This window comes from Homo sapiens, chromosome 9, assembly GCF_000001405.40.
Source record: "Homo sapiens chromosome 9, GRCh38.p14 Primary Assembly".
Classification (NCBI taxonomy): Eukaryota; Metazoa; Chordata; class Mammalia; order Primates; family Hominidae; genus Homo; species Homo sapiens.
In genome coordinates, this window is record NC_000009.12 from 94537195 (window position 1) to 94549232 (window position 12038).

Below are 12038 nucleotides of genomic sequence, written 5' to 3' on the forward strand. Positions count from 1 at the left end.
AGGATCGCATAAGCCAGGAAGGTTGAGGCTGCAGTGAGCCACGATTGTGCCACTACACTCCAGCTTGAGAGTGAGACTCTGCCTTAAAAAAAAAAAAAATACCTGTACATCAACATCAATAAGAAAAAGATGAACCACCCAGTAAAAATTGGGGAAGCGCCTTAAATAGGCATTTCAAATAAGAAAAAACATATATATGACTGATACCATATTAAAAGGTGAAATCGGCCAGGTGCAGTGGCTCACACCTGTAATCCCAGCATTTTAGGAGGCCAAGGCAGATGGATTGCCTGAGGTTAAGAGTTCAAGACCCACCTGGTCAACATGGCAAAACCTCATCTCTACAAAAAAGACAAAAATTAGCCAGGCATGGTGATGCATGCCAGTAATCCCACCTACTTGGGAGACTGAGGCACAAGAATCGGTTGAACTTGGCAGGCGGAGGATGCCGTAAGCCGAGATTGTGGTACTGCAATCCAGCCCGGGTGACACAGTGAGACTCCATCTCATAAATAAATAAATAAATAAATAAATAAAAGATGAAATGATAGAAATGCAAATTAACACCATAATAAGATGCAATTTCATAATTAGCAGATCGACAACAATTTAAAAGTCCAAGACCAGCAAGTGCTGGTTGGGTCACAGAGCAGCAGGAACTCTCCCACACCACTCGCAGGAATAGTGACACCAGCACTGTGGAAGCAGTTAGGCAGCATCTCCTAAATTGAACATGCATCCTACAACCTAGTAATTCCACTCCTAGAAAAACCCCTACAGGACACCCAGGAGACATGCACAGCATTTTTTATAACAGCCAAAAGTAGAAACAACCCAATTGTCCTTACACGGAGGGAGTAGATCTAAATATTCATCAAGAGGAGAATGGACAGATACATTGCAGTACTTTATGTGACAGGGTATCTTATGACTGAGAAAATGAGTGAAGATATATCAACATGGATGAATCTTAGAAATCATTCTTACAAAGTTAAAAACAAAAAAACTAAATAATATGTTATTTAGGACGCTTTTATTTGTGGTAAAACTTGAAATAAAAGGAATAAATTATAAACAAAATTTTAGAGTAGCAATTACTTCTTGGGAGAGGCAGATAAATGGAGTGGGGAAGAAGTCTCAGGGGACTCAAAAACATTGGTAATGGCCTCTGCCTTGAATTGTATTGTGCATCACAGGGTGGTTTTCTTGTTATTATTCTTCATTGCTTCCACAGGATGAAGATATACATATAGTAGATGTTATTATGTATGTTAATTATAAAGTAAACCATATATTATATATACTATACAACACTAACATAATGTTAACTTATATAGTATGTATTAATTATATACAGTATATTAATATTAATTATGTAGTATACTATATAGTCACCCTGAGTGATGGAGTTCTGTATTATAATTTTCTACATTTCCCATGGGCTGGGCATGGTGGCTCACACTTGTAATCCCAGCAGTTTGGGAGGCCGAAGTGGCCACATCACTGGAGGTCTGGAGTTCGGGACCAGCCTGGCCAACATGGCGAAAACCTATCTCTACTAAAAATACAAAAAATTAGCTGGGCATGGTGCCACATGCCTGTAATCGCAGCTACTCAGGAGGCTGAAGAAGCAGAATCACTTGAACCTGGGAGACGAAGACTGCAGTGAGCCAAGATCGAGCCACTGCACTCCAGCCTGCATGACAGAGCACAACTCTCTCTCAAAATAATAATAATAATTTTCTACATTTCCATAATTGCTTAAACATCAATGCAATACATTCATAATCAAAAGACGGTGATTTTTAAATAATGTCTAGAATGCTTGCACAGTTTTTTGAAAACTGATCTGAACCTTCAGTCTAGTGTCATGCTACGGGAGGGATAATCTCTAAAGATTTGACATTGCTATCTAGTTGACAAGTAGGTGTCAAAATGCTAATGCACAATTTCAACTATGCCAACATTGCCTTTATGTATTTATTTAATTTTTTTAGACAGAGGCTTGCTCTGTTACCAAGGCTGGAGTGTAGTGGCACGATCTCAGCTCACTGCAACCTCTGCCTCCCGGGTTCAAGTGATTCTCCCTGCCTCAGCCTCTGGAATAGCTAGGATTACAGGTGCGTGCCACCATGCCCGCCTAATTTTTGTATTTTTAGTAGAGACAGGGTTTCACGATGTTGGCCTGGCTGGTCCTGAGCTCCTGACCTCAGGTGATCGGCCTGCCTCAGCCTCCCAAAGTGCTGGGATTACAGGCATGAGCCACACTGTGCCCAGCCACCAACACTGCCTTTAAATATTCAGTATTCCTTAGTCAGTATTACTACCCTTCTTATCTTTTTGAAGATATACTTCCCATCTTTATGTTGAGGCTTTTATCCTATTTCCAACATCACTAAGCTTCCCTTGAACTGTAAAATTCAGTAACTCAGAAGCCTTGGATGAAAACTAAGATTCTTTTCTTCCCCCAGCCCTTTAGCAATATCTAGTGGCTATTTAGAGACAGCACAAGACAAACATTTTCCTACGTGAGGATCAATGGTATCGATGGCAAATTTGACTTAGCAAAAAAAAAAAAAAAAAAAAGAAAGCCTTAGGTCTTCAAACAAATAAAATCTCTCCTGTGATTAAGTAATTTTACATGCATGGGTGTATATGTCAACACTTAAGATAAAGTGTCAGGCCTCTGAGCCCAAGCCAAGCCATCGCATCCCCTGTGACTTACACATATACACCCAGATGGCCTGAAGTAACTGAAGATCCACAAAAGAAGTAAAAATAGCCTTAACTGATGACATTCCACCATTGTGATTTGTTCCTGCCCCACCCTAACTGATCAATGTACTTTGTAATCTCCCCCACCCTTAAGAAGGTTCTTTGTAATCTCCCCACCCTTGAGAATGTACTTTGTGAGATCCACCCTTGCCCGCAAAACATTGCTCTTAACTTCACCGCCTATCCCAAAACCTGTTAAGAACTAATGATAATCCACCACTCTTTGCTGACTCTTTTCGGACTCAGCCCACCTGCACCCAGGTGAAGTAAACAGCCATGTTGCTCACACAAAGTCTCTTTGGTGGTCTCTTCACACGGACGCGCATGAAATTTGGTGCCATGACTCGGATTGGGGGACCTCCCTTGGGAGATCAATCCCCCGTCCTCCTACTCTTTGCTCCACGAGAAAGATCCACCTACGACCTCAGGTCCTCAGACCCACCAGCCCAAGAAACATCTCACCAATTTCAAATCCGGTAAGCGGCCTCTTTTTACTCTCTTCTCCAACCTCCCTCACTATCCCTCAACCTCTTTCTCCTTTCAATCTTGGTGCCACACTTCAATCTCTCCCTTCTCTTAATTTCAATTCCTTTCATTTTCTGGTAGAGACAAAGGAGACACGTTTTATCCATGGACCCAAAACTCCGGCGCCGGTCACGGACTGGGAAGGCAGCCTCCCCTTGGTATTTGATTCACCCACATTTCAAAGGCGTCAGACCATGCAGGGACACCTGCCTTGGTCCTTCACCCTTAGCGGCAAGTCCCCCAACCCCTTCTCTCCTTGTCTCTACCCCTTCTCTGCTTTTCTGGGGGAGAGGCAAGTACCCCTCAACCCCTTCTCCTTCACCCTTAGCGGCAAGTCCCGCTTTTCTAGGGGGCAAGAACCCCCAATCCCTTATTTCTGCACCCCGACCTCTTATCTCTGTGCCCCAATCCCTTATTTCCGCACCCCGACCTCTTATCTCTGTGCCCCAATCCCTTATTTCTGCACCCCAAGCTCTCATCTCTGTGTCTCAATCCCTTATTTCCATGCCCCAACCCTTTCTCTGCTTTTCTGGAGGGCAAGAAGCCCCCACCCCTTCTCCATGTCTCTACTCTTTTCTCTTGGCTTGCCTCCTTCACTATGGGCAACCTTCCACCTCCCATTCCTCCTCCTTCTCCCTTAGCCTGTATTCTTAAGAACTTAAAACCTCTTCAACTCTCACCTGACCTAAAATCTAAGCATCTTATTTTCTTCTGCAATGCCGCTTGACCCCAATACAAACTTGACAGTAGTTCCAAATAGCCGGAAAATGGCACTTTCAATTTTTCCATCCTACAAGATCTAAATAATTCTTGTCGTAAAATGGGCAAATGGTCTGAGGTGCCTGACATCCAGGCATTCTTTTACACATCAGTCCCTTCCTAGTCTCTGTGCCCAGTGCAACTCATCCCAAATCTTCCTTCTTTCCCTCCCGCCTGTCCCCTCAGTCCCAACCCCAAGCGTCGCTGAGTCTTTCTAATCTTCCTTTTCTACAGACCCATCTGACCCCTCCCCTCCTCGCCAGGCCAAGCTAGGTCCCAATTCTTCCTCAGCCTCCGCTCCTCCACCCTATAATCTTTTTATCGCCTCCCCTCCTCACACCTGGTCCGGCTTACACTTTCGTTCCGTGACTAGCCCTCCCCCACCTGCCCAGCAATTTACTCTTAAAAAGGTGGCTGGGGCTAAAGGCATAGTCAAGGTTAATGCTCCTTTTTCTTTATCCCAAATCAGATAGCGTTTAGGCTCTTTTTCAGCAAATATAAAAACCCAGCCCAGTTCATGGCTCATTCGGCAGCAACCCTGAGACGCTTTACAGCCCTAGACCCTAAAAGGTCAAAAGGCCATCTTATTCTCAATATACATTTTATTACCCAATCTGCTCCCGACATTAAATAAAACTCCAAAAATTGGAACCTGGCCCTCAAACCCCACAACGGGACTTGATTAATCTCACCTTCAAGGTGTACAATAACAAAAAAAAGTTGCACTTCCTTGCCTCCACTGTGAGACAAACCCCAGCCACATCTCCAGCACACAAGAACTTCGAAACGCCTGAACTGCAGCGGCCAGGCGTTCCTCCAGAACCTCCTCCCCAAGGAGCTTGCTACAAGTGCCAGAAATCTGACCACCAGGCCAAGGAATGCCTGCAGCCCAGGATTCCTCCTAAGCCGTGTCCCATCTGTGCAGGACCCCACTGGAAATCGGACTGTTAAACTCACCTGGCAGCCACTCCCAGAGCCCCTGGAACTCTGGCCCAAGGCTCTCTGACTGACTCCTTCTTGGCTTAGCGGCTAAAGACTGACGCTGCCCAATCACCTCGGAAGTCCCGTAGACCATCACGGACGCTGAGATTTAGATAACTCTCACGGAGAGTAAGCCCGTCCCCTTCTTAATCAATACGGAGGCTACCCACTCCACCTTACCTTCTTTTCAAGGGTCTGTTTCCCTTGCCTCCATAACTGTTGTGGGTATTGACAGCCAGGCTTCTAAACCTCTTAAAACTCCCCAACTCTGGTGCCAACTTAGACAATACTCTTTTATGCACTCTTTTTTAGTTATCCCCACCTGCCCAGTTCCCTTATTAGGCCGAGATATTTTAACCAAATTATCTGCTTCCCTGACTATTCCTGGGCTACAGCTGCATCTCATTGCGGCCCTTCTTCCCAATCCAAAGTCTCCTTTGCGTCCTCCTCTTGTATCCCCCACCTTAACCCACAAGTATAAGATACCTCTATTCCCTCCTTGGCGACCGATCATGCACCCCTTACCATCTCATTAAAACCTAATCGCCCGTACCCCGCTCAATGCCAATATCCCATCCCACAGCATGCTTTGAAAGGATTAAAGCCTGTTATCACTCGCCTGCTACAGCATGGCCTTTTAAAGCCTATAAACTCTTACAGTTCCCCCATTTTACCTGTCCTAAAACCCGACGAGCCTTACTAGTTAGTTCAGGATCTGCGCCTTATCAACCAAATTGTTTTGCCTATCCACCCCATGGTGGCAAACCCATATACTCTCCTATCCTCAATACCTCTCTCCACAATCCATTATTCTGTTCTGGATCTCAAACATGTTTTCTTTACTATTCCTTTGCACCCGTCATCCCAGCCTCTCTTCACCTTCACTTGGACTGACCCTGACACCCATCAGGCTCAGCAAATTACCTGGGCTGTACTGCCGCAAGGCTTCACAGACAGACCCCATTACTTCAGTCAAGCCCAAATTTCATCCTCATCTGTTACCTATCTTGGCATAATTCTCGTAAAAACACATGTGCTCTCCCTGCTGATCGTGTCCGATTAATCTCCCAAACCTCAATCCCTTACAAAACAACTCCTTTCCTTCCTAGGCATGGTTAGCATGGTCAGAATTCTTACATAAGAGCCAGGACCGCACCCTGTAGCTTTTCTGTCCGAACAACTTGACCTTACTGTTTTAGCCTAGCCCTCATGTCTGCGTGCGGCGGCTGCCACTGCTTTAATACTTTTAGAGGCCCTAAAAATCGCAAACTATGCTCAACTCACTCTCTACATTTCTCATAACTTCCAAAATCTATTTTCTTCCTCATACCTGACGCATATACTTTCTGCTCCCCGGCTCCTTCAGCTGTACTCACTCTTTGTTAAGTCCCACAATTACCATTGTTCCTGGCCCAGACTTCAATCTGGCCTCCCACATTATTCCTGATACCACACCTGACCCCCGTGACTGTATCTCTCTGATCCACCTGATATTCACCCCATTTCCCCATATTTCCTTCTTTCCTGTTCCTCACCTTGATCACACTTGATTTATTGATGGCAGTTCCACCAGGCCTAATTGCCACACACCAGCAAAGGCAGGCTATGCTATAGTATAAGCCACTAGCCTGCCTCTCAGAACCTCTCATTTCCTTTCCATCGTGGAAATCTATCCTCAAGGAAATAACTTCTCAGTGTTCCATCTGCTATTCTACTACTCCTCAGGGATTATTCAGGCCCCCTTCCTTCCCTACACATCAAGCTCGAGGATTTGCCCCACCCAGGACTGGCAAATTAGCTTTACTCAACATGCCCTGAGTCAGGAAACTAAAATACCTCTTAGTCTAAATAGACACTTTCACTGAATAAGTAAAGGCCTTTCCTACAGGGTCTGAGAAGGCCACTGCAGTCATTTCTTCTCTTCTGTCAGACGTAATTCCTCAGTTTAGCTTTCCCACCTCTATACAGTCTGATAACAGACCAGCCTTTATTAGTCAAATCAGGCAAGCAGTTTTTCAGGCTCTTAGTATTCAGTGAAACCTTTATATCCCTCACGGTCCTCCGTCTTCAAGAAAAGTAGAATGGACTAAAGGTCTTTTAAAAACACACCTCACCAAGCTCAGCCACCAACTTAAAAAGGACTGGACAATACTTTTACCACTTTTGCTTCTCTCAGAATTCAGGCCTGTCCTCGGACTGCTACAAGGTACAGCCCATTTGAGCTCCTTTTTATTAGGCCCCAGTCTCATTCCAGACACCGGGCCAACTTAGACTGTGCCCCAAAAAAACTTGTCATCCCTACTATTTTCTGTCTAGTCATACTCCTATTCTCCGTTCTCAACTACTCATACATGCCCTGCTCTTGTTTACACTGCCGGTTTACACTGTTTCTCCAAGCCATCACAGCTGATATCTCCTCGTGCTATCCCCAAACTGCCATTCTTAACTCTTGAAGTAAATAAATAATCTTTGCTGGCAGGGCTATGCTGAATCTCCTTAGGCACTCTCTAATCAGATGTCCTGAGTCGTCCCAATTCTTAGACCTTTTATACCTGTTTTTCTCCTTCTCTTATTCCATTTAGTTTTTCAATTCATACAAAACCGTATCCAGGCCATCACCAATAATTCTACACAACAAATGTTTCTTCTAACAACCCCACAATATCACCCCTTAACATAAAATCTTCCTTCAGCTTAATCTCTCCCACTGTAGGTTCCCACGCCGCCCCTAATCCCGCTTGAAGCAGCCCTGAGAAACAGCGCCCATTCTCTCTCCATACCACCCCCCAAAAATTTTCGCCGCCCCAAGACTTCAACACTATTTTATTTTTCTTATTAATATAAGAAGGCAGGAACGTCAGGCCTCTGAGCCCAAGCCAAGCCATCGCATCCCGTGACTTGTACGTATACATCCAGATGGCCTGAAGTAACTGAAGATCCACAAAAGTAAAAATAGCCTTAACTGATGACATTCCACCATTGTGATTTGTTCCTGCCCCACCCTAACTAATCAATGTACTTTGTAATCTCCCCCACCCTTAAGAAGGTTCTTTGTAATTCTCCCCATGAGAATGTACTTTGTGAGATCGGCCCCTGCCCGCAAAACATTGCTCTTAACTTCACCGCCTATCCCAAAACCTATAAGAACTAATGATAATCCACCACTCTTTGCTGACTCTCTTTTCGGACTCAGCCCACCTGCACCCAGGTGAAATAAACAGCCATGTTGCTCACACAAAGCCTGTTTGGTGGTCTCTTCACACAGACGCGCATGAAATAAAGTCATACAGCTGGCATTTCCTCATTTAGCCTGCTGTAAACATAGGCAACAGTTGTTACTACATTACATAATGGGCATTATGATAAAGAACCTCAACAAAGATCTGAAGCAAGAGTGCCAGCACGGTGTGAAAACATCTAAAAGCAAAATGGAAGAACTTGTATAGAATGGCATCTTTCAGGAACAGAAGTCTCTAGGCATAGAAGCAGAGATTAACAGACGAGACAGAGCAAGAGGGGTGGGCTAGGGAGGGAGCACAAGAAGAAAAGAATACAGAAAAATCATTGGGATGAAGAGATTTATAGAATCCAGAGTTTTTATCCTAAGATAACTGCAGCCAGTCATTGCACGCTTAACCAAAAGTAGGTTTCTCTTCATCCTTCAAGCCTGCTCCCCCAAAGATGTTTGCCATCTTTCCCTTTGACTTGCTGCATTACCTATCTCATCTCACTTTCACTGGAGGTTCTGCTCCCAGGTAGATGATGGGTGACAGCTGATGACTGAGAGAAAAGAAGCTCCTAACTTCTGTCTGTAGAAGTAGATAAAGAAACTATAACTGCAACCTCTCCTGTTCCCACCAACACTTGAGTCCTAACAAAAGCAGCTCTTTTCCTAGAAAGCTGGTCACATTCCTAAAAAGAGTTTGCATTCTGACCTTTACGAGTTAGGTGGAGACTCTCTCAACATTATTCCAGTTATAAGAAGGGGATGGCCTGAGAGTCAGGCAACCTGGGGCTCTTTAGCCTCATTACTTTTTAACCCTATTATCACACTTTAATCTCTCTGTGCCTCAACTTCTCTATCTAAAAACTAGATATGATTACTCATACCCTTGCAATTTTCACAGACAGTTCTCCATGATCAATTAACGTTTACCAAAATGTTTTCCCCATAGAAAAAACCCATGAAGCCTAGACAATACTATTAGCATTCCCATGCACACCTATGAAACAAATACCTGCTTATGGCTATCAACATGTGGTGCTGGGCTGACCTCCACACAAGTTAGGTAAACTGAGTTTTGCAATCTAGCACTATGTTGTTCCAATTTAGCTTATGATGGGAGAACACAGAACATTATTGAGGAATTTTTGAGGCAATATGTTGGGGAGTCAGCAAATGTGAGTTAGGGGAAGGGAGGACTTGTCCCATCAGATATTAAAATATATTTTAAAGCTCTGTTGGTTAAAATATCATGATATACTGGATCAGGGATAGACAGATAGCTCAATGAAATGTAATGGGGACCCCATAAACAGATCTACGTATGAAAATGCTTGGGAATGCAGATCAATAGGGAAAAAAAGAAATATTTAAGACAGTGTTGGAACCATTAGTTATTTGTGTATAAAAAACTGATTCTGGATCCATACCTCAAACTGTACACAAACTCAATTCCAGATGGATCAATGAAAAAGCCACGTTTCAAAATTTGGAAGAAAATACAAAATATCTTTTTATAATCTCAAGATAGGAAAGGATTTCATAAACAAGACACAAAAAACAAAATTCACAAATAAAAGATTGATAAACTTTGCTCCATAGAAATTAAGAATTGTGTTCTTTGTGGTGGTTGTTGTTTGAGATGGAGTCTCTCTCTGTCACCCAGGCTGGAGTGCAGTGCCATGATCTCAGCTCACTACAGCCTCCATCCACTGGGTTCAAGCAATTCTCATGCCTCAGCCTCCCAAGTAGCTGGGATTACAGGCATGTGCCACCACACCCAGCTAATTTCTGTACTTTTAGTAGAGATGGGGTTTTGCCATGTTGGCCAGGCTGTTTCAAACTCCTGACCTCAAGTGATCCGCCCACCTCCGCCTCCAAAATTTCTGGGATTACAGGAGTGAGCCACCACACCCAGCAAGAATTGTGTTCTTTGAAAAGACAAGGAGAGAGTAAAAAAGGCAATGCATAAACTGGCAGAAAATATTGCAGAACATATAACCAGGAAATTAGTATCTAGCTTATATAAAGAACTCTTCTAAATCAGTAAGAAATCTAACAATCCAATAAAAAAAAGGCAAAGATTATGAACAGGCATTTCTCACAAGAGGAAGTATAAACAGTGGGTAAACACATGAAAGGATGTTCAACTTCATTTGCAGTGAGTAAAATACTTGCACATGCACGTTTATAGCAGCACAATTCACAATTTCAAATGCTCATCAATGAGTGGATTAAGAAATTGTGGTGTGTGTGTGTGTATATATATATATGTATACACATATACCATTTAGCTATAAAAAGGATAAAAATAATGGCATTCACAGCAACCTGGATGGGATCAGAGGCTATTATTCTAAGTGAAGTAATGTAAGAATGGAAAACCAAACATCGTATGCTCTCACTTGTAAGTGGGAGCTAAGCTACGAGGATGCAAAGGCATTACAATACTATAATGGACTTTGGGGACTTGGGAGAAAGGGTGGGAAGGGGTGAGAAATAAAAGACTACGAGTTGGATAGTGTATACTGCACAGGTGTTGGGTGCACCAAAATCTCACTAATCACGTCTAAAGAACTTACTCATATAATCAAACACCACTTGTTCCCCAAAAACCTATGGAAATAAGATAAAGAATTTTTTTGTGTGTGCATACACATATTTTTTAACTTTTTTCCACAGGTTCATTGAGATATAATTTATGTATTATTTAATTCACTCATGTAAAGTATAAAATTCAATTTTTTTAGTGTTATTAACTGGGTGGATAAACAATCACGACATAATTTTAGAACATTTTTATGCTCCTTAAAAGAAACCTTACACCCATTAGCAATTTTTCCCACTCTTTCTTTAAACCCCTCCCAGCACTAGGCAACCATCCATCTATTTCCTAAGAATTTGCCTATTCTGGAAGGATTTGCCTATTCTGGACATTTCATGGAAGTAGAATCATAATAATATACAGTTACGTGTGACTCACTACTTTCACTTATCATGTTTTCAATGTTCATCCTTTTCAGAGTATGTATTAATATCTTTCTTTTTCATTGTCAATATTTTATGGACAGGCCACATTTCATTAATGATGGACATTTCTGTTGTTTCCTACTTTTTGTTGCTATAAATACCTGTATGCTACTTTTTGTGCAGGCACCTTGTTTTAATTTCTTTTTGAGGTATACATAGGAGTGAATTTACTGAGTCACGTGGTAATTCTATATTTAACCTTTTGAAGAACCGTTTCATTTTTCTGCATGTGGCTTGCCAATTATCCCAGGACCATATGTTGAATAGGGTATCCTTTCCCCACTTTGTTTTGTTTGCTTTATCAAAGATCAGGTAGTCTGATGCCTCCAGGTTTGTTCTTTTTGCTCAAGATTGCTTTGGTTTTTCAGCATCTTTTGCGGTTCCATACAGATTTTAGGACTAATTTTTCTATTTCTGTGAGGAATGGCATTGTAATTTGATAGTGGTTGCATTTAATCTGTAGATTGCTTTGGGTAGCATTGAAATTTTGACAATATTAATTTTTTCAGTTCATAAATATAGGATGTTTTTCTGTTTATGTCACTTTCAATTTCTTTCATCCATGTGCTATAATTTTCAGTATACACATCTTTCACATCCTTCATAAAAATTACCCCCTAGTCTTTTACTTATATATTTGTTTTGATACTATTATAAATGGAATTACTTTATTATTTTTCAGGTAGCAGTTTGTTACTGGTGTATAGAAACAAGAATTATATTTTTATGTTAAATTTTGTAACTC

The 12038-nt window shown here is 42.3% G+C and overlaps 2 annotated features.

The window, feature by feature from the left end:
* Positions 10819–10988: an enhancer, noted in NCBI's record as "experimental_110288 CRE fragment used in MPRA reporter constructs". NCBI's record gives its function as "activates a minimal promoter by MPRAs in K562 erythroleukemia cells, with activity observed for the introgressed 9:97310380 variant allele {active_cell/tissue: K562}" and the evidence as "EXISTENCE:reporter gene assay evidence [ECO:0000049][PMID:34662402]".
* Positions 11304–11473: an enhancer, noted in NCBI's record as "experimental_110294 CRE fragment used in MPRA reporter constructs". NCBI's record gives its function as "activates a minimal promoter by MPRAs in K562 erythroleukemia cells, with activity observed for both the introgressed and non-introgressed 9:97310865 variant alleles {active_cell/tissue: K562}" and the evidence as "EXISTENCE:reporter gene assay evidence [ECO:0000049][PMID:34662402]".